Source organism: Homo sapiens, chromosome 22 (assembly GCF_000001405.40).
Source record: "Homo sapiens chromosome 22, GRCh38.p14 Primary Assembly".
Taxonomy (NCBI): Eukaryota; Metazoa; Chordata; class Mammalia; order Primates; family Hominidae; genus Homo; species Homo sapiens.
In genome coordinates, this window is record NC_000022.11 from 47,279,382 (window position 1) to 47,301,987 (window position 22,606).

Consider the following 22,606-nt stretch of genomic DNA (forward strand, 5'->3'; position numbering starts at 1 on the left):
AGCCTGGGCTGGCCAAGGGCAGTGCTCATCTGCAGACTCTGGGTCTTTAGGGAGGGCACATGCTATGGGCCTCAGGCAGAAATGGGCCTCCCAGAATGACAGATGGCTACAGTGAAGGTATAAGCCCCCAGTCGGGGACGCCAGGTCTCATTGCCAGCTCAGCCAAGGGGTGACTCCATTGAGTCCCAAACGCTGTGGATTGCAGTGGGCAGTGGGCGTCTGGGTGGAACCATAGCCGGTTCTGAGCAGGGCCGTGAGAGAGTTTGTTTTTCAGAAGTTTCTTCTTGTGAATTATTTAGGACAAGGGGAATTTTCACTTAGAGAATAGCTTGTTTGTTGGACTTATATCAAGAAAATATTGAAATACATGCAGGACTCTGAGTGACAATAAACATCTTCCCGAAGTTGGTGGGCTTCTCTTGCCATTCTCGCTTGGGAGGGCTTTCTCCAAAGGGGCAAATGTCTGAATGAGGACTGGAACACAGACACATGTTGGAAACTCTTAGAAAAAAAAAAGTTAGTTTCTTGAACAGTTCAGCATCCCTTGAGAGCGAATTAGGACTGGAATGAGCTAGTGGAAAGCGCGTACCTCGGTCTGAACTCAGAACCGACTCTAGCCACATTCCTCTGTAGTTAGGGAAAGGGGACGGAGACGGATGGTTTTGCTCTTGAGAAGGTGAGAGCAGGGTGTCTGTGCTGCTGTTTGCCGTTTGCAGCTGGGGATCCCCAGCATCTGCTGCCCCAGGCACGATGCTGGATGCTTTGCAGGTATTTTCTTATTCAACCTGCGCAGAGCAGTGAGGCATTACCATCTGCATTTTATAAAGGTGGGGAACCGGGTTCAGAGGTGGGATGTGGCTTGCCCAAGACACAGAGCTGATGAAGTGTCACAGCCAGGTTTTGAACCCATTTCTGTCCGACTTCAAAGCTCTTCCTAAACAACTCTCAAAATTCAGAACCATGAAAGAGCCTCTCCTGAAAAAAATCAGCCAGGTTCTTTTTTTATTCCAAGTAAGAATTAAAAACACAACGCGTTTCTCTTTTTGCCCTGGCTACTAGTAAGCCCAGAGCTAGATTTTGGCAACCTCTGAGTTAGCTGAAGTTTTTGGAATTTTTACTTCTTTACCCATCTGTGGATTTGCATATTGTCAAAAAGCCCAAATGAAGATTTGTTCTCTAGGAGACTCAGCCTCCAGCCCTCTTCAGAAGTCCTCGATTATATTTCCAGATCCTTCTTGTGTAGAAACACGTACCTAATGTGCACCTGTTCAGATTCCAGCTGTGTGGAAACAGTGGGATGTGCGGATGGCCGTTGTCCAGGAGAAATGAAGCTGCGGTAGATGATGGAGGATTCCAGCCCAGTGAATGGCACTAGTCTTGCCTCCATCTTTATTCACTTCTAAATCAACTTTAGAAGTATCTGAACTAGCAGGAGGAAAGAAAAGACTTAAAAAGACAAAGTAGATTACAGGAAAGCAATGATTTCTCTGGCTGTTTGTCACTTCGAGTGCAATACATTAACAAAGTGCTGTAATAAGGAGAGCTACTAAAAAATGATTTATTGATACTTTAGACCTGTTAAAACAGGTTAATGTCAATACAATTAGCTCCTGGATCAAGACAATCCCCAAGTTGATAAAAGAGCATTAAATGCCACTCCATCAAAATGGGGGAGGGGCTGAGGACTTTGCCCGCAGGGAAGAGAGGAGAGAAATGTTCTCTGACAGTGTCCACTCTCCCACCCCTGGGGTCCCCTTGGGCCCTCGCCCCCCAGGACTCCATGGACTGGAGTCTGAGACTCGGGCTGTTCTAAGAAATGGGCAGTTTTTGTCTGGAAGGCTCGCTGGCTCTGCTATTTCATGGATGAGCGACTCCTGAGTAATTTGGGAGAGTATCGAGCAATTGTTATGCTGGGAAAATGGGCAGAGAAGAGCAGGTGAGTCACCAGGAGACTGCCAGAAAATGAGAGTATTCTCAGAAATGAGCAGAGCTCCGGAGCCTGGTAATGGATGGATGGGTCAGGGCCTGGTCCCTGGGCGCGTCCCCTCACCTTGCTGAGCCTGCTCCCTTCTTGGCCAGTCTATGCAGCTGTGAGCCCTAAGTGTGGCCCCTGCCTGGCACTGCATGGACCCTGGACCTGCAGACCCCCTCAGTGCTATCTTCTGCTCGGAGGGATCTGTCCTTTGGGGAGTGAATCGAGGCTGCATTGGTCTTCAGTGCTCCCCTGGGTGGTCATCAGGGCATCACTGCCACAGTGTGAGTTGGGACGATCTTAATGTCATCATCCCAGTCCTCAAAGAGTTGTTTGAAAATGGTTGCCTTTTAAGGCAACAGTGCACAGGATGAGAATTCAGATGACACAGCCCTGAGTGTGAGGCACCTCAGTCTCCCTCACCCACCCCTCCCCACCTCTTCTGCACAGGCAGCCGCTGCTTCTGGGCCTGGTTTTCCTTCCAGAGTCAGCCTGCATGTTGACATGCACATGGCTCTGCTCTGGGCATGTTTGCCGGACACGCCAGGCAGCTTCTGCGGGTTATGTTGCAGAGCCAACGACACCCAAGTCTCGGGGGCTTTTTCTGAATCAAGGGTTGATTTCTTGCTGGCTGTGCATCTGCTCTGCATTCTTCTTCATTCCCGACCAGGCTGAGGCCCAGCCCTGATGAGGCATGGCAGAGGGAACACAGAAACAGTGAAACACACAGTGGCTCTTGGAGTGACGCGAGCCACTTTTGCTCGTGTTCATTGGCCAAAGGGTTGGAGCTGAGGGTTCCTGGATTCTGAGCTGGCGGCTAGTGGAGAGGAAGGGTGTGTGGACAGAGGGCAAAGCGGCAGTGATGGTGTGACATGGGATAAACGGGGTGCAGGGCTGAGACTGGCGGGGGTGGTGGCAGGCCCGCGTGGCCTCTCCCCTTCCGGGCCTCTCTGTGGAGGCTTTGGCTCTGCTTCCCAGGCAAGGTGAGGGTGTGGTCCAGGGCTCCCAAAGGCTCAGAAACAGCAGGGAGTAGCTGTGGCAGGGTGGGAGCCTCATGGCCACCTCCCAGCCCTTCACAGAATGCCAGAGCTCCAGAGGACATGGAGCCTTGGCCGCTGGCCTTTCCTTACCCAGGCAGGGGGGCTGAGTCCCAGAGCTGGCAAGGCAAGAATGGAGACCAGAGCCCCGGGATCCTGGGTCCTGCCAGGCGGGGTCCTGTGTCATGCTGGCCTTCCCTGCATCTTCACCCGGCACCAGGGGTGGAGAGCCCCGGGCACCCTAGAGTCGGGAATAGGGGGCACCCAGGCCCTGGTGCCCAGCTCAGGGCAGGAGCTGGTTTGCCCCAGGCTCACTCTTCCCCTCCCTCCGAGACCCCCAGCCTCCAGCTTACTCTGGGGTCTGTGCCGTCGCGACTCTGTCTTCTGGGGTCTGACCTGTTCCTGGGCCACCTTGGGCACATCTGTTCTCAGCACCATGGCTGCAGAGCCTGGGGCTTTCAGATGGACTAAAATTCTCTTTCCCAATTCCAAGTTCTCAGGAGAGAGGGTTGGATGGGGCCAGCTGGGGCCCCTGCCCAACACACGTCCCGTTAGCCTTGCCAGGTGAAGGCAGGCTCTCCATGATCCGGGTGGACATCATGGCTGTGCTGATTCGGCAGCTGCATCCAGTGTTTGGATAAGGTGCAGTTTGGGGACAAGGTAAGTGCCCCAAGAGCGGAGGCCTAGTTCATCACTGAGGCCATGACCCCAGAACTGTGCCTGGCAGGGGGCAGCAGGTGTTTCTGAATGAATGAATGGGTGAGGAGAAGCCATCTCAGCGCTGGGAGGGAGGCAGGCTCAGTGAAGATCCGGCCCCCACTCTGGTGAAGGGCAGCAATCCCTATCCCTGTGGGGTCGGGGGTTCCAGGGGTGGCTAGGAGCTGTGGCCCTGCCCCTTGTCCTACCTAAACCCCCCAGGACACCAGCTCTGACACCCACCTCTGTCTGACTCACCCTGGATCAGGTGGAAGGCTCTGGCCTGTCCCGAGCCCCTCCTGCTGCTGTAACAAGGAAGCGGAGATGAACACAAAGACAAAAGCGGCCCCTGCCCCCTGGGCACAGTGGACTCGTGGAAAAGACCCCTTGTTTCCTTCTTTGTCAGAAGCCCAGGAAAGAGCAGCTCTTTCAGTTTCCAGGACTGATTGCTCAGAGTGTTCTAAGGGATGTCTCTTCCTGAAGAGAAATTCTCCTCCTGAAAATTACCCATCACAGTACTTTGCGGTCTTTTCTCATTTCTCATCTCAGACCCTTAATAGCCTTGCCAGCGCCAAAGGCCTCCGTGTGACTGTCAGCGGCTATTACCCTTGTCACCTCGAACGCTGCCGGTCCCCAGCTCTGCAAAGGCCCAGCAAAGCTCTCGCCCCCGTCTCCAGCCCTCTCCAAATGCTCCTGAGCAGCGGCATTGAGGATCTCATTTCAGCGAGTGATGCCTGGCCTGTGCGGGGGGGACCCTGGGCCGGGGCAGGGAGCCTGGAGAAGGGAGATGTGACCCAGGTACCCCAGCCAGGCCTGGAAAGAGAAAATCTAAGTCCAAAGGAGGTCTCACCTCTGTCCCCAGCAGCATCTTGGGGTGGGTCGGTCTGCCTCTGAGACCCCGAGTGCAGACCCTGGGGCAGACAGCACTTAGCTGGAGGCGTGACCCAGGGGTCCTGGGGGCACTTGGGGAGACAGGGAGGTGCCTTCCCAACACTTGGGGAGGGAATTCAACTTGTCTCTGTCCAGATCGGCCCCGCTCTGGAGAGGCAGCCTGTGGTCCAGAACAGGGAGAGCCATGCCTCAAGAAGCAGGTGCATCTGCTGGAAGGGAGGCTGGTCAGCAGGGTGCTAGGGTCAGGCTGTGTCCAGCCATCCCTGTCCCCACAGTGTCTGGGGTCCTGGGCAGGGAGCTGAGCATGGTGAGGCTGTGGACTGGATGGTTCCTGAGGCTGAGGGACCGTTCAGGGGTCCTCAGTGATGCCTTGCTGTTCTAGCCCAGAAATGTTCTCCCTTGCTCTGCCTGAACTTGATGTGCAGAGCTGCGGCCCCTCTGCTTCCACTGAGGAGTCCTCGCGGGAATGAGGGTCTCGTGCCCATAGACAAACTGGCAGCTGGCTTTGAGTCCCTCCCTCCATTCCTCCAGGGCTCACCCACCTCGGCTGGCAGGCAGGTGGGAGACAGTGTGCTCCCCCCACACAGAGTCCCTGCTCCTCTGTGGCCAGCCCAGGGCTCTGACCACACCTGTTGTCATCATCCTTGCAGGAATTCATCCCCAGCTCTACCCAGGCCACGCGCCAGGCTGAGCCCTGCGTGGTGGTTCTGTGAGTCCCTGGTGCTGGCTGGGGGCCTGGCTCTGAGGAAATGGTCAGCAAATGGTGAGGAAAGAACAGGCAATCAACAAATGCATATTAATCAGCTATTCATTTGATATGGACAGCCCGCGAGCAGCTGACAGACGAAGGGATGCTCTGCTGAGATGGACGGGAATGGCTTGTCTGAGATTCTGAATAATCCGAGACCTTGGAGATGCATCCCCAGGGCAAGAAGTCTCTGCCTAGGACAGACCAAAGGGGCATTAGTTTAGCTGGGAGGGAAATTTGCTGAGCCTTCAAATCACACTGTATCCTGTGTGGGTCCCGGCTCTGAGCTCACCAGCTGCAGGGGCCTCGGAGTCCCGGGCAGATCTGGTGGGCAGTGGGGCTGCCTCGGCTCATGGGGGAGAAGGAAGTACTCCTGCCCATGGCTGCTAACTCTCTCTGTCTCTGTCTCTCTGTCTCCCTGTATCTCTCTGTCTATCCGTCTCTCTCTCTGTCTCTTTCTCTCTCACTTACTCAGGCTCTTTTTCTCTCTTTCCCTCTGTTCCTCTTTCCCTCCTTCCTTCCCTCCCTCCCCATCCCTCCTGCTCCTCTTTTTCCTCCATCTCTCTGCCTGTCTTCTTCCCATTTCTGTTTTCTAATTTGTTAGGAGGAGGAGTCAGTGATGGCCTTGATGTTGCTGGTTTTACGTATTCTACCCACCAGGTATTCTGGGGTCCACTTTTATCTGATCAAAACTTCGTATAAGTCCTGGCATTGAAAACCCGCAGGATCCCTGAAATGTTTCTCTTGGTTTAGATGGTGGCAGCTCTGGAGGGACATTCTGTGAAGGGATTTTATTAGTGATGATGACCCAGGCACTGATGTTAGAGCTGAAGGGAACCGAGTCGTCAGAGGCCCTGCACCCGCACCCCATTTACTTCATGGCGGGTCTCCTGAGAAGAGCAGGGCCTCGCAGATGGCCTTGGAGTGGGTAGCAGTGCTTTGCGGGGACTTTGTTTTTCCTCCGTGCCAGGACATTAAGACTCATCCTAGAACAAAGCGCTCCTGGCACAGCAGAGCCTCACCTTGGACCCGGCGACCATCATCTGTTTCTGCAGCTCTGCTCTTGGGCTGGTGAAGAGCAGGTTCAGCAGCAGTTAGGGAAAAAGTGATGGGCTCAGGAGGAGGGGAGACAAATGTCTGTCTCCATGTGCATGTGCTGCAGGCGCTTAATAGATAGAGGGCCTGTCTCAGCCACTAGAAATGCCTGCTGACCATGGGGAAGCACTCGCCTCTGCGAGCGTGGGCAGCCATCATCAGAAGGGCAAGCCCTTGAAGAAGGTCCCCACGTTCTGCAGGATCTGTGACCTTCTCAGGTTCAGGCCTGAGACGGAGCCTCCACAGCTGACCCACATCAGCAGAGGAATCAAGGGCTGGGCCCTGGGAATCAGACTGTCCAAGGACAATGAACATAGTCCCCGGCTGGTGGCGTCTTTCAGTTTGGTGGCCTGGGGCTGCTTACAAGTCAACCTGGAGCCTGACATTCAGCCCAGCTCTGCACCTCGGTGGCCCAGGCGCCTCCACACAGAGCTCGCTGTGCTGACGGGGAGTTGGGACCCTGTGCTGGACACCTGCTGGTGGTCCAGGCATTGCGCCTGGGATGTACGAGGGCAGCAACCCAGGACTTCTGGCTCCTGCAGGCTGGCAGGAGAGGGTTGGGGGCATTTTGATGAAGTGAAATGTGAAATGGATAAGATGCTGTGAGTGCCATTTGGAGGACTGCAGGAGGGGCATTGCCGGCAGGTGCAGGGGCTCAGGAAGGGGTCCAGGGGAGTGGTGGCTGTGAAGCCAGACTTGATGGAGAAGCAGCCTTTCATCAGCCGCACATGTGGGTCAAGGTGAAACCGCATCAGTGGGGTCAAAGCAGCAGCAGTTTCACGTGGGTTCATGTGGCTGGAGGAGATAGCCGGGGAGGTGGGGTGGAGTGCCTGTAGTGGTGGTGACAACCAGGACAGGAAAGATTCTAGCAGGGGCCAAGGTCTGCAGGCTCAGGGAGCCACGGGAAACTCCTGGTGGGCAGCTCAGGAAGGTGGGGCTACGTCTCCCTTGGTGCAGCCACAACCTCTGCCTCCCTGGGACCTCCGCCTGCTCCCCATCATCCTGGGGTCCACAGTGAGGGCCGTAGGCTCAGGCAGGTGAGGTGACCTGGTGAAGGACGCATGGTTGGTCAGCAGGGGTGCTGGGACTCAACCCTGATCCTGGATGGTTCATCCCCTCACACCCAAAGTAGGGTGGGGTGGGTATCCATTCAAAGTGCTCAGAGTGTGTGCAGGCTCTACTGCACATGACCTCACCAAAGCCTCACCGGAAGTGGCAAGTGGGTGCTGTTGGCTCCGACTCTGCCCCTGTCTCCATTGTGACCCCCACAACGAGCTGAGAGCTGCAAAGGGTGGGGTTGCTGGAAGCCCCCGGGGTCTCAAATTCCAATGACTACGGCTCTCAGCTGGGTGGTCACATGGACGTGTTTTTGTTTGTTCTACCAAGAGCCAGACGTTGAGCTCCACTCAACCTCCCCCATTCTGTTTTTCTTTTCTTTTCTTTTTTATTCTGAGATGGAGTCTTGCTCTGTCACCCAGGGTGGAGTACAGTGGCATGATCTTGGCACACTGCAATCTCTGCCTCCTGGGTTAAAGCAATTCTCCTGCCACAGCCTCCTAAGTAGCTGGGATTATGGGGACCCGCCACCATGCCTGGCTAATTTTTGTACTTTTAGTAGAGATGGGGTTTTACCATGTTGACCAGGCTGGTTTCGAACTGCTGGTGATCCAGCTGTCTCAGTCTCCCAAAGTGCTGGGATTATAGGCGTGAGCCACTGTGCCCGGCCCCTATTCTGTTTGTTGCATTTTGTGCAGGCGTATTTAATGCCTTCTGTTTTGGAAGGCACAGCTGTGATCCTTGTGTGCTGATGAGCAGCCTCCATCTGCCCGTGAAGCAGGCTGCATCTCATGCAATTTCAGAAGCTCCTAAGGAGGTGGTGTGGTGAGACAGCAGGAGTGCTGGCTGGGAAGCAGTGTGGTGAGATGGCAGGAGAGCTGGCTGGGAAGTTTGCAACCTGGGTCAGCTTCCAACCAGCTGGGTGACCTTGGACTTCTTTCCCCTCTCTGGGCCTTGAGTTTTCTAACTGGAACATGATGATCTTGGGTTTGATGTTCTTCAAGACTTCCTTCGAAGTAATAATGATATTCCCTCTTTCTCTCTTTTGTCTCTCTCTCTGTCTCTGTGTGTGTGTGTGCATGCATGCCCACAGAAGCATACATGTTTTGTCAGAGTTGGCATACCAGATATGGAGAGTTTCTCTCTAGGAACCATATTTCCTTGTTGACATCATAGCATCACGCTTTGTAAAGACTCCTGTTCCAGGAGATCCTTACTTGATCTACCTAACCAGGGTCTCAGTTCAACAATTGGCATCTTGGCTGAGTCCATCCAAGGGCAAACTCCTTCACCACCTACCCAGTCATTCACTGATCCCTCTTATCCATTCACCTTCCCATCTAGCCATCTCTTCTATTGATTCATCCCTCCATCCAATCAACCCATATCCATCCATCCATCCCTCCATCCACCTGCCTGTCCATCCATCAGTCAATCAATCCATCCATCCATCCATCCATCCCTCCATCCCTCCCTCCCTCCATCCACCCACCTTCATCCTTCCATCCATCCCTCCCTACATCCACCCACCTGTCATCCATCCATCCATCCCTCCCTACATCCACCCACCTGTCATCCATCCATCCATCTACCTACCTGTCATCCATCCATCCATCCATCTACCCACCTGTCATCCATCCATCCAAAATCCATCCTCTTTTCATGCATCGGTCCTACCTTGTCACCCACTCATTCTTCCACCACAACATGGATCTAGGGTTCAGAACAACCAGAACTAGAATCCCAGATGTACTGGATTCTAGTACATCTGATTGTAATCATTGTTATTTTTGTCTGTGTGGTTATCTTTCCCCCACACCCCCTCCCTGACAAGTGTGCACTTTCCTGACCACAGAGGTGGACCTGAGGTGCAAGCTGCATCAGCCAGAGTCCCTCTTGTGAGTCTAGTGAAGGAGGCTGGTGGGGCTGGGCCAGGTGGGGGCAGTGCCCAGAGGACAGGCCAGTGGGTGCCTCCGCCCTAACCCGGAGCTGGCCTGTCTGGTCTTTTGTCTGGGCCACTCAGCCTTGCTCTTGGGTTCTGTGACCCACCCAGTGTCTTCCAATAAATGTCCTTCTTTGCCGGGCTTAGCACTCAGCTCTGCTGCTTATGCGCATGTTTACTCCTTCCGCCCGGGAGGACTCTGCTCTGATGGCGCTCACACTCTTTGAGGGAAACAGACAACATGAGAGAGAGAGTGAGCGCACAGGCTGACCTCGTGAGGTCAAGTGTTGAATGAGGACAATCAGGGAGACTGGCAGGTGGGGGTGGAAAAGTGGGGTGGGAGGAGCACCTCCAATGGGGTGGTGAGGGAAGGTAGGGGGCAGAAGGTGCATCCAGAAATGATACCTGGAGAAGTTATTGTAACATGGGAATGTGCAGGAACAGCTCAAGGGTTAGTTGTGGAAAAGTGTGGTCATTCATGACACAAACTGATTCCTGATGTTGAGCTAACCCTCTGGGCACTGGCAGGTGAATGCTCCTGAAGGCTGTCAGGGGCAGCCCCTCATCCAGCCTGACCACCCCCGAGGCCCGAGAGGCACTCGGTGTGCTGGGGAGGGCAGCTGACTGGGCTGACTGGCCATCTGGCATGGGGTCCAGCCTTGTCCCCTGGCAAGCAGGAGATAGGGTCTGTGGCCAAGAGATCAGCTCTGGCCATGCCTGCAGGTGGCTGATGATACCCTCTGGGCTGTGGGCTGGTCTGGTGGGCTCAGGACTGGCAGAGGCTGGGCTTGGAGCTGAAGTGGGGAAGGTAGGGGGACAGGCCCATCCTCTGCCCCATGTTCCGAATTCCCTGTGTTGGGAACAGCAGGAGGCGCATGAGAGAGCAGCCCCGATGCCCCCAGGCTGTCGGGCACCCTGCTGGAATCCGGAGGTCACCCAAGCAGGAACCTGCTGTTTCTGGGTTCATGCCCCCATGTGAGAGCCACACCGTGCAGGGACCAGGAAGAGCCTGGAAGTTGTCTGACCTGGCTACCTCTGGCCAGACCCATCTGGGCCCCCCGCATGCATGAGCACATCTGGAAGGGGAGCAACAAAAACGTCAACAAGTGCAACAGCTGGAGCTAAACAAGTATGTCAATTGTATGTTGAAAGGATGCACGAGAGAAATTTTTAATACACAGCACTCAGGGAAGGAAAAGCTGTCGCTTTGCTCCATTAATTCCCACAATTAACGACAGCAAATCTGTCCCTATCTTTATCTCCAGACTTGACCAGAAAGCTATTTTCTTAAAGACGTTATTTCCCAATTACGGAAGTAAGATGTCCCCCTTACAGGTAAGTTCATAAAGTGCAGAAAAGTTTACCGGCGACGGTTCCATATTGTGAGCGTTCGTGCCAAGGCAAAGATCTTGGGAAGCACAGTAGCTGCCTTCATCACTGGCTTCTCATGAAAACCACGAGGAGGGTATTATTATTCCCCAATTTCAGATGGGAAAGCTGAGGTCCAGGTGAATTAATAACTCTCCCGGCCAGGTGCGGTGGCTCACGCCTGTAATCCCAGCACTTTGGGAGGCCGAGGTGGGCAGATCACGAGGTCAGGAGGTCAAGACCATCCTGGTTAACACGGTGAAACCCGGTCTCTACTAAAAATACAAAAAATTAGCTGGGCGTGGTGGCGGGCGCCTGTAGTCCCAGCTACTCCGGAGGCCGAGGCGGGAGAATGACACGAACCTGGTAGGCGGAGCTTGCAGTGAGCCGAGATCACACCACTGCACTCCAGCCTGGGCGACAGAGCAAGACTCCGTCTCAAAAAAAAAAAAAAAAAAAAAAAAGGAAAATAGCTCTCCCAAGGTTGCAGATTCGGTCACGGGTGGAGCCAGGAAGCAAATCCAGGCCTCATCACGACAAATCTTGATTCTGACGTGTGAAGAGAGATGGTTACTGCCAGCCACGCCAGCCTCGCCAGCCTCGGGCTAACCTGCCCCAACCCTGGAGGATCCCTTCTACTCACCCAGCACAGCTGCAGCCAGGTAGAGCCAGCCATGTGCTAATTCCAGCTCTGAGTCCAGCCAGGCTGCCTGGTGGGGGAGACCTACTTTCTCCTTAGCCCCAACGCCTGCGCCTGTGAAGCGTGGTCCACACTGGATTCATCTTCTGGGGTTGCTGTGAGAATTGCGTGAGAATAAGTGTAGGTGCCCTGGCCCCCAGAGCCGCCCCCAGCGCAGATGAGCTTTTACGGGGACGACATAGGTTTCTGTTTCTCTGTCCTTGTGGTAATACTGGCAAATAATTTTGACACACCCTATTTAATCTCAAATGAAAGATGAAGGCTGGCTGCTTCTCTGCCCACCACCTCTCCAGGACTCACCTGTGGTCCTGGAATGAGGCCGCCCTTGCTTGGGCCGCTGCCCAGCAGGCAGAGGTGCCCAGCACAGAGGCCTCTGCACACCCAGACATGGCCCAGGTTCTGATAGCCTGGCCAAGATCCACACAGCCCCCTGGGATGGGAACGACACTGGCCAAGCTGCGCGATTCCCCAGGAGGAGGAACGGGGTATTTTTTAAAATGGATACATAATAATTGTACATATCTATGGGGTGCGGAGTGATGTTTCCGCACATACAATGTGTAGTGATCAAATCGGGATGATTAGCACTTCCATCATTGAACATTTCTTTGTGTTCAGAACATTCGAAATCCTCCCTTCTAGCTTTCTGCGCACATGTCATGGTTTTGTCCGTTGCTGTCTTCCCCACAGGGGGACAGTGCATGGTGCGAGGTTTGCCTTCAGAGAAGTGAATCTCTGGGAAAACTTCCTGGAGAAGATGGCATCTGTGCTGGATCTCAGGAACCCGGGGTGACTTCAGCAGGGGACAGTGCTACGGAGAAGGTCTCCTGCAGAGGGCTGGGGAAGCCAGGGCCTAAGCTGGGGGGTCCTGGGCATGTCCAAGGCCTGGCGGGGCCCAGGGAAGGTGGCTTGTGCCCTCACAACGGAGGGCCTTGAATGCAGTGGGGGGTTCCCTCAAGTACCTTTGGCCGATCACCACTCTTGCTTTGGAGGGAAAATGCAGAGTGTGCTCGCGTGATTCTGCACGGGAAGCTTCATTTTCAGTATGGGTGATTTGGGCATGGGATGAGGACCCCGTAGGGGATCCCTTCCTTAGCCGCAGGAGAGGAGCAAGGCTAGGAGGGAGGGGCTGGAAGCAGAGAGACCTGACGCCTGGATTCAGGCATCAGGGAGGGTATGGCCAGCTCTGTTCAGAGATAGCTCACCTGGGTGAACTCGAGGCTGGTGGGGACCTTAGGAGGGACAGGAGGCCACCTTAGGGGGAGGGTGCTGTATTTGGACTGATCAATTCCTCAACCCATGAGTATTGAGTACCTCCTCTGGGCCCCATTCTGTGAGACCGGGTGTGGCCTTCTGGTTGACCCATCTCAGAAGCATTTTGCAAAGGTGGATGGATGCTCCTAGCCCCACAAGCTCTGGCCCTGGCATCTCTGTGGGTGCCAGGATGCAGAGGTGGGCTGCAGAGGCCCAGACTCTGCGGAAGTGCCCTCGCCTGTTGAGTGGAGCTGTTTCAGCCTAAGTGCCCTCCACCACTCGGAATGTGGATTAGCTCTGGAGAACTCATCTGAAATAGATATTTCTCTCCACCGCTGGAGGGATTTATTGGCAACACTAGCCATCTATTAGCATTATCTGGGGACTCTGCACTGGTGAGAATAGATACTATAAATCTTAGTTGTATAAAAACCCAGGAGCTAGAAGGCTTTAGTGGACGGCAAATAGAAAAGTCCAATGAGTTCAGACCTGTTTATTTTACTTAGAGGGAAAGAACATTCCGTACCCAGCCAGGCAGGAAATGGGTTTTGGGGACGGCCACTTAGCCCAGCTGTTGGCCCTGAAACTGTGGGAGTAATCTCTGCCTGCAATTAGAGCAGGAGGCTCAAAGGACCGTGTTTGGGAGCCAGTGATGGAGTCCTGCGGAGAAGTGAGGCCTGGAACTTCAGGCGGCGGCTGTGGGGCCTCACGGGAAGGAGACTCTGCGGGCAGGCTGTGCGCTCAGCTCTCAGCCACCCGGTGCCTCGGATGGAGAGGACTGTGTGTCCTGGTTGCCTGGGACAGTCCCATGATGCCAGTCACCCTGGCATAATTAGCCATCGCTCCCTCTTTCTCTAAGTGTTGTGGCGTGGATGAGAAATTGTGATATTTACCAGTTCCATCTCTGACTGTCCATTGCTCCGCCTGCAATGGTAGATGATTCTGCTGCCCAGCTTGTCATCCTGGTCTTGGGGGGGCTCCGAGGAGTCCTCTCTGAGCACGAGCTTTGGGAGTTGGACCCTCTCCACTCTGTCCCTAAGCAGGACCATATGAACCCCTCCCCTCTGTGGGACATAGAAGGAGCAGAGGTTCAGGGTGTGGGTGCCAGACCCAGTCCTGCTGCCTGCTAGCTGCTCACCTGTCACCTCGGGCAAGCTCTTCACTGCTCTGAGCCTTAGCTTTCTGATCTGCAAAATGGACAGGATATGAGTTCCTATGCATGACAAGCAGAATTTCTAAACATGGACCTTGTATTATCTTCTTTTGGCTGCTGTTGCAAAATACCCCAAACAACCGAAATGTATCCTCTTATAGTTTTGGAGGCCAGAAGTCGGAAATCAAGGTGTTGTCAGGGCCACGCCCCCTCCGCAGGCTCTAGGGGAGAAGCTGTTCCCTGTCCCCTTCATCTCCGGGGTTGTGGGCAGTGCGTGGTGCTCCTTGGCTTGTAGGTACATCGCTCTGATCTTGGCCTCCGTCACCACGTGGCCTTCTGCCTGTGTCTCTGTCTGTGTGTCTCTTCTTGTAAGGACATCAGTCACACTGAATGAAGGATCCACCTACTCCAGTGTGACCTCATTTTAACTAATTATATCGGCAATGACCTGTTTCCAAATGAGATCGCATTCTGAAGTTCTGGGAAGGACATGCATTTTGAGGGAACAGGTCAACCCAGTACAGCACCCTGAGGATGTTCTGTGCTAATCCCTGGAGCTGACGAAGATGAGATGTCATTCCCGGGCATATGTTCTGCTTATGCCCAGTCGACTTCATGGTAGGGAGACTAGCTGGGTGGGTCTGGTTTAATCAGGTGATGCCTTTAAAAAGCAGAGGATGTGCCCTCGTGGAAGGAGGAAGAGGAAGTCAGAGGGATTGGAAGCATGAGGTTCAATGTGCCGTTGAGAGTGTGAGGCTGGAAAAGGCCACATGGTGAGGAGTGTGACTGCCTCCAGGGGCACGGTGGCCCCAGCTGACAGCTGCCTAGGAACAGAGACCTCAGTCCAACAACTGTAAGGACTTGAGTGAGCTCAGAAGCACATTTCTCTCCAGAGCATCCAGACGGGACTCCACTGGGCTGGCACTTGCATTTTGGTCTTGGGAGAGAACCCGGCCACACCCTGCTGGACTTCTGACCTACAGAACTGGGAGCCAATAAACTGGTGGTCATTTGTTATGCATTACTCATGGGCTGGCTGGAAGGGTGATGAGTTACCTCAAGCAGAGTTGCGACCCTGGCTGGGAGCCGAGCCTGCATTATGACTGACCTCATGAGATTATTGTTGCTACAGACTCAGAGGACACCACATGGGCACCCAGAGAGTCACTTTGGGCCCATCCTGTCCTGGGTATGGACAAGAAACGCCCCTTGCTCGTGAACTTGACCCGTTTTCCTGTCTCCCCTGGATTCCTTCCTCAACACCGAACCCCGAACACTCCTTGTGTCTCCCAAAATCCAGGCTCCCCATTGCCCTAGGGGTGAAGCTCATCCCTGGACTGGCATCCTTGGTCTTCCTGAGCACCCTTCTGTTCCCATGCCCTTGTCTCTCTTGGCCCCAGTGCCCTCCATCCAGCCACAAGAAACACGGGCCCTGCCCCATAGCCTCAGCCTCCCTCTCGCTCAGCTCACCATTCCCCTCTCCAGGAGCGACCTGCCTGCAGCCTCTCTGGGCCACTGCCTCCCTTTTCGTGGTTCTCCCTCGTCTGGATGCCCCAGGGTGGCTGGAGACTGTGCCACATCCTCTTACTGCCCAGCAAGAGCCCAGGGTAGGCAGTGCCCAGAGCTTAGCCCATCCATCAGCTCTTCTGCTCTAGGACTTTGCATCTTGAGTGGTTGGGGGCAGGCGTGGAAGAAATGGGTGAGCTTTGTCTTTTCATTTATTTCCTGCACAATCCCCAAGGCCTGGGACGGTGCTTGGTCCAGGGTAGGGACACAGTGAGTCTTGGCTGAAAACAGCGTGGTTAATTTCAGCAGTGGTCCTGGGTGAGGTGGTTGAATGGCTCTTGCTGCTGGCCCCACCTCCTTGAGAGCCTCCTCAGCCCCAGATCCACTTCCTTGGCCTTACTTCTGTCCTGTGACCCAAATGTCCTTCAGTAAGCTCCTTCTTTGTTTGCAGCAGTCGGAGTTAGTTTCTGGTGATTGCAGTCGGCCCCCAGCAGATCCCCAGGAGTGAGGGCCCCATGGACCCGGCATCTGGACACAGGAATACCCGAGAAACTCGAGCTGAAAGATCAAAGACAGGAAAGGTGGGCAAAGGCCATTGAGGGACTGCCTCCCTCAGTGAGGGGCTGTGACTAGCCCAGAGCCCCCAGCTGGGAAGGAGCAGGGTCCAAAGTGAGCTCAGGGCCAGTGCCTGTGCAGCAGCTGTCCACACAGAGGGTGCCCACTGCCCGAGCGCCTGGAAGAGCGGGCTCTGCATTCGCTTTTACCCGAGACCAGAGGAGAGCCCTCGGTGGTGCTCTGTGGCTACACACCTGCATTTTGGTCACACTTTCGGGTCTTTGTGGCCTCACATCCTCTCTCTAACGTGTGCTGAGTGGCAGGGCTTGAGTGGGGGGGCCCATGGGGAGGCCCCGCTGGGTAGCAGCACTGTTCCTGTCGATAGCGGCTGGAGGGGTATTGATCCCACTCATAAGCACACAGGAGCCCACTCGGGCCCAGAGTCACATGGGGTGTTCAATACCCCTTCCCGCTAATGAGCAGCAGCTTCACCTGCTCGAAGCCTGGAGATGGGGCTCTGCTCCGTGGACGCTCTGTGCAGATCCAGCCTCACGGCTTCACAACTTCACAACTTCATAGGTCACTTCAACACCCTCCTCCTTAAAGAGCAACACAGCAGGCTGGGTGCCTTGGAGCCGATTCTGAATTACTGTCCTTCAGAAATGTCAGAAAAGGATCCTTCCAAAACTCCTAGGACTTGCTAGAGACCCAGAAAATAGAACAGAGTTGTGTTGCCCCTCCCAGCCCTGGGTCCTTCCCTTCGCTCTTTCTCTCTCTGAGATGCAGACGTGAAGCAAGCCTCAGGACCTGAGACACAGCGCTGAGCCTGGGGCTGCTCCTTGGTGTGTGATCCCGATCGAGGCGCCATCCCTCTGGGCCTCAGTTTCCCCATCGCAAGGACCGAGGGCAGGACTTGGGACCTCCAAGGTCTCTTTGAGCCCCCTGGCACTGCAAATCTATCTTCCTCCCTTTGAGAAATGGACATGCCCTTTCCTGGGTGAGAGGTGACTCAGAAAACGGCAGCAATGATTAATATTGATGCAGCTTCAAATGTTAAAAGTTAGAATTAAATTTAAAAAAAGGGAAAGGGTCACATGTAACCAATTAAACCACGACTTCTCCATGGCCTGTCTCCCACTTTAGGGGTAGAACAATCCTCGTATGGCTCTGCCATTAATCTCCTCCTCACCTTCCTCTACCGGGGAGCTAACGCTGGCTGCAAATTGAAGGGAAAGGAGAAATTGGCCGGTCGCAGACACATAGACTATCTCCCGTTGTGCAAATGCCAGGGAGGGGGAAGCACCAATCAATCTGCAGGCCGAAGACTGCAGACAGCTCTGGGAGGAGAGGGGGGCACACGCACCCCGGCTCGGGTGTGAGAATTAATGAAGGAGGCTGGGAAGATGAAAGAGCACGGGCATTTGAAATGAAGCCCAGCGGGTTGCGGGAGTTCAGGATGAATTTCAAAATGCAGAGATTGCAGGGTCATGGACTAATTACCTTGCAAGGATGGGGCTCAATGGTCGTGTCTGTGCAACTCCAAATGTCCAGGTAGGAAGTGGGAAAGGCCGCCTGCTGGGACCCACCCATCTTGCAGGGCGGGTGACTGCCCAGACCCCGCCTGCCACACCCAGTGCTGCAGCAGCAAGTCCTGCCCTTGACATGCATTTTTTCTGAGTCCCAGATTTATAAATCAGTGGGTTTGTGGGGACTCCAAGCCTCCTGAGGGCTCTTGGACCGCCCTGTCCTGGAGGGCTGAGAAGCCAGGCACAAAGCTCCTCCCCTCGTCTCTGAGTCATCCCGTGGGTGGACAAGACGTCCTAGAGATGTCTTGTAACCTCCTTGCATAGATTTCAGGGGTCGGCGCTGCCTCCTGAGGGTGCCCCGCCCCCACCCAGCCCTGGTTTCTGGTGTTTGTCCTCCATTCCTCCGTTGTGTGCTGCCTGGCCCTGCGCTGTCCTCCGCGTGGAGGACCTCACTCCCATGACAGCACTGTGAGGAAGGCTCTAGTCTCACGTCCACATTAGAGATGGGAAGACTGAGGTTCAGAGAAGGTAGGATGCCCAGCTGGTCGTTGGCAGAGGCAGGCTCCAACCTTAGGAGTTTCCTGTACCCCTAACCACTGTGCAGTGCAGCTGTGCCCGGAGAACTCAGCAGGGGGTGCTGGTGGTGGCTGCCGGTGGGCAGGTGACGCAGAGGAGCCCTTGGCTCTGAAGATGGAGCAGGTGCCTGCTGGGAGCTGGAGGGCCTGGGGAGGGGCATTTTCCGGGCAGAGGGAACAGACAGTGTGGGGCTCAGAATGAGAGAAATGACGGCGAATTTGGGCGGGTTTGGGTGGCACAAGGGGTGGGTGACGTGGGAGATTCAGCCCCAGATAAAGTGTGGGGGCCAGATCAGGAAGGGCTCAATGTCCTTACTAAGAGGTAGGACATTCTCTGGGACCTGAGGTGCCCTGGGGTAACTCAAGGCACGCATGGGGTCCTGGTCGGGACTTTCGGAGGCCCCTCCAATCTTTAAGTGTGTTTCACGAAGTTCATTTTTTTTTTCTTTTTCCTGAAATTCAAGCACTTTAGGAGGCTTTTCCTGGTGGCCACTCCGTGGAGGAGGCGGGAGGAGCCAGGGCTGGAGAGGCTGCCTGCATGATGGACTCAGGAGGGATTTCAGTGACCATGTTATAAGGACTCAGGGGCTGTCCTGGGGCCTGGGGTAGGTGTCATAATCTCCATAAACACCCTGGTGCTTATGGTTTCTGTGTCAGTTAGCTACTCATGTGTAACAAACGTCCCCAAGTTTCTTTCTCAAAATCAGCATTGCTCATCATTTCTCTGCACCCCAGGTCTGCTTGGCTGGTCTGGGCCAGGCTACTCCGGTCCTGGCTGGGCTCGTTCAGGCATCTGGGGTTGAAGGGTGGTCAGCCTGCTTCTTCTCCTGCTTCCTCTGGCCCCATCCTCCTGCAGGTGAGACCTGGCTATCTTCACGGCAGCCAGGAAGGACTCGGACAGGGAGTGGAGAGTGTAAGGCCCTTTGAGGCCAGGCTCAGAACAAGCGATGTCACTTTTGCTGAATTATTTTGTCCAAAGCACATCACAAGGTCCACCCATATTCAAGAGGGAGAAGCTGCCAAGTCACATTGCAAGGGGCGTGTGTGTGTGTGTGTGTGTGTGTGTATGTGTGTCTGTGTGTGTAATATTTGGGCCATTTTTGCAAACCATCTCCCATGGCTTTTGCTGTCCCCTGCAGACACGTGTAGGCAGTGGGTTCTCACAGCCTAGAGAAGGGAACCCCTGGATGCGCCGGCCTGGTCAGGGGTAGCTCCTCAAGGGAAGTGACATCAGGGCCCCTCCAATCTTTAAGTGTGTTTTACAAAGTTCATTTTTTTTTCTTTTTCCTGAAATTCAAGGCTCATTAAACTTTTTTTTTTTTTTTTAAACCCAGCATGGCGGAAAGCAGGCTGCCCCATGTCTCAGATGAGTGTAGGAGCGGGCCAGTTGCAAATTCATAATTAAAGGAATTTGACAAGAATCAAAGAAGACTGGTTTCCACTGGAGGTTTGGGGAGTTAATTACCGGTTCATACCCTGCCATAATGGGTGTGTGTGAGACATTTGAAGTGGGGAGGGCTGGGAATTCGCTGGGAAAATGCAGTGAAAATGTGTGTGCCAATACTGATTGTGTGATTTGTGGGTCCACCCACAAGACATCTTAGAGATGAGGGAAGGAGCTTTGTGCCTGGCTTCTCTTGTTTTCAGAAACATCATTTTCCAAGAGGCCCCGTTGCGTGGCCCTGGAGAGCAGGGTTCACAGAGTGGCCTCCTCCCACCCCACCCCACCAGGTCCCCAGCAGGACCTTGGGGCAAGCGGGATGTTGGAAGGAGTTGATGATGTGGAGTAAAGGTGGCATTGGGCTCTGGGTATGCACAAAAAGGCCTTTCTGCTTTTTGGGTCTCTACGGCCCAGAGACCAGGTGGAACCAACCACTGGGCCCTCTGCTTCCGGAATCTTCCTTCAAAATGGCTCTGCTTGCTCTTAGAGGGAAGCCATGCCTGAGGGCGGGTTACTGGAGGGTGCCAGGCGCCTGCCGACCTTTCTGGGCCACACGTACTCCTGCGCTGTCTTTTATCCTGGGGCTTTCTTCCTGCTGGCTCTGCCGCCTGCCACACTCTGGGAGGCTCATTTGCGTCCCCCCACCCTTCTCCCACCCCAAGACCAGGAGGCTAGCAGTCCTGCCCTGCTCTCCTCTGTGCTCACAGCCCAGGGGACAGGCGCCTGCTTGCACCTCCAGCCTGGGCTGCACGAGGCTTGGCTGATTGGCCGCCTGCCACAGAACCACCCGCAGAACCAGGCGGCCAAGCTGCAGGTGACCAGTTGGCCCAGAAGCATAAGAAACGCATCTAGGCAGAAGCTTCTGGGTTCTGGAGTCATTTGTCACGCAGCTAAGGCTGACGGATATACCTGGTTATGACCTATTCACCCTTTAGGTCTCACCTGGCCCTTGTCCTACTGTCTTCTCAGCACTTTTCTCTGTGTCTGTGTCCCCAGCTCCCCTGCAGTCCCAGTGAGTGAGGACAGCCTCCAGCCTCCTCTTGCGCTTGTGTTCCGTGGCGCCTGGTGCTGCTGGTGGCTTCATGAATGCATGAAGCCAGTGGGTGCGTGAGGGCCCTGGGTGGGAGGAGCCCGGCTTTGGAGTCATCTTGGGTCTGACGTCCACTCTGCCCTTTGCTGTGCGACCGTGGACAAGTCACTTATCCTACCTGAACCTCAGGTTTCTCGTGTGAACATGGGGGTAACCACCCCAGGTTTCGAGGTGAGGTGCTGTGTGCAAAAGGCCAGGCTGAGAGCCGGGCACAGAGCAGGTTCCCGACACGCCATACTCTCCCTCTCTTTGCAACCCTACTCTGCATGAGGCCACCCCTGCCTGTTTGCGCTGTGAACCCACCTGTCCACGTCTCTCTGAGTCTCACTTTCCTCACCTGCCAAGTGTGGGAGTGATGATGACAGCTACTTGTGCTGCTGAGGGTGAAGCAGGGTTCTTGCTACTGCAAGGGAGCCCTGGGCTGCAGGTCACCGGTCTCCAGCCACCTCTGTTGGGCCTTGGTCTTCTGGCTTCACTTCTGTCCTCCCCACCCGCTCTTTCTCTGCTCCAGAGACCCCCATGCCTCGGATGGGCATAACGGAAGCCGTGGGCTGTCCCCTCTCTTGACCGTTCCATCTCCAGCCACCCCTCAGCTCTCACCTGGGCTTTCCTGACCCACTCTTGTGAGGACAAGGATCTGCCAACATTCTGGGGTACATGTGCTTATTCCAACCTTCAGAAGGTGTTTGTTTAGTCACCCCTTCCTCACCAGGTGCATGTGGGGGTGAGGAAGACCACAGCACGTGGAGGGGGACACCAAGCGGCTAGGACCCTGTGGACAGGGTGGCTGGGACAGCTGCCTCTAACTGGGCAGGGCCTGGCGTCCTCCACGGTGGACCTGCCACCTGCCCCAGCCCAGCCTCACCGGGGAAGGGGCCAGCCAACCCCAGCCCCTCTCTTGGGGGCCTCTGCTTTCTCTGGCTGGGTCCAGGGTCCTGTTGCCACCTTTGGCCAGAGCTCCCCTTCATGATGTCCCCTCATCTGGGCCACATGGAAGGAAGGACTGACCACCTGGTCCCATCCAGACCATGTTACTCACCTCTCTGTGCTTCAAGTCTTTCATCTGTAAAGGGAGACCCACAGGTCCTTCCTCAGTGGCGCTGGGAGGCCGATGAGTTAATCAAGGAAGGTACTGGGCACAGAGTGGGCACAGAGCAAGCGTGGTGCATTTGCTGTGATTTTCCTGGTGACATGAGCATCTTCCTTGTATTTCCTGCAAATGGAGGTCTGCACGCTCTGCGCCTGGGGCCTGCCAGCCCTGGGTACCTAGGAATAAGTTGTGATGTGGGGCCTAGACCGGATCCTACTAATTTCTCAAAATAGTTATTTTCTGGATGCAAAGGTAATGCATGCTCCTTATATGATGCCTGGAAAACACAGGGGGCAGCCAAAAGAAAAAAAAGCCTCTTGCATTTTCACTTCCTACTGACAACTGCTAACGTTATCTAAACCTCTTTCTGGTTTTTTCTCAAATGCCTTTGCTTGAGCACGCACTCATGCAATATATACCGATGTTGAAAACTTAATTGCAGGTGATTTGAGATTGCACTTTTCACTTTATTGTATCATATTTTAAAGTTTTCTCATGTCACATGCATTTGTCCACAGCCTGAGTTATGATGGCTGCAGCCATCCGTCTTACGGATGTGCCATTTAAATGACTCCTCCTGTTTTACTCTTATAGAGATAGCTGATGTGACTGCCTTCTAGTACATTTTCATGCAAATTCATGACAGTCTCTCCAGGGTAAATTCTTTAAAGTGGATACACTGGGATGAAAAGTATGTACATTTACAATACTTTTGATACAAACTGCTCAGCTGGTCTCCAGAAAGCAGTAGTGGGGCGGGATGCCCTCTCTCCCTGGCCCCTTCTGCAGTGGGCAGCAGTGTGAACCAGGAAGTCCAAGTATATTACACACAGCATCACTGTGGTAAGCCTGGAAGACGTGGGCTTACTGTGTCTGCAGTCGCTCCTACAAGCTGGAGCTAAGGCCTCAGG

General features: G+C 54.5%; 1 annotated feature.

Annotated features, from left to right (window-relative positions):
* Window positions 2,266-2,766: an enhancer, noted in NCBI's record as "H3K4me1 hESC enhancer chr22:47677397-47677897 (GRCh37/hg19 assembly coordinates)". NCBI's record gives its function as "activates a minimal SCP1, AML or CMV promoter by ChIP-STARR-seq in naive H9 embryonic stem cells {active_cell/tissue: H9 hESC(naive)}" and the evidence as "EXISTENCE:reporter gene assay evidence [ECO:0000049][PMID:30033119]".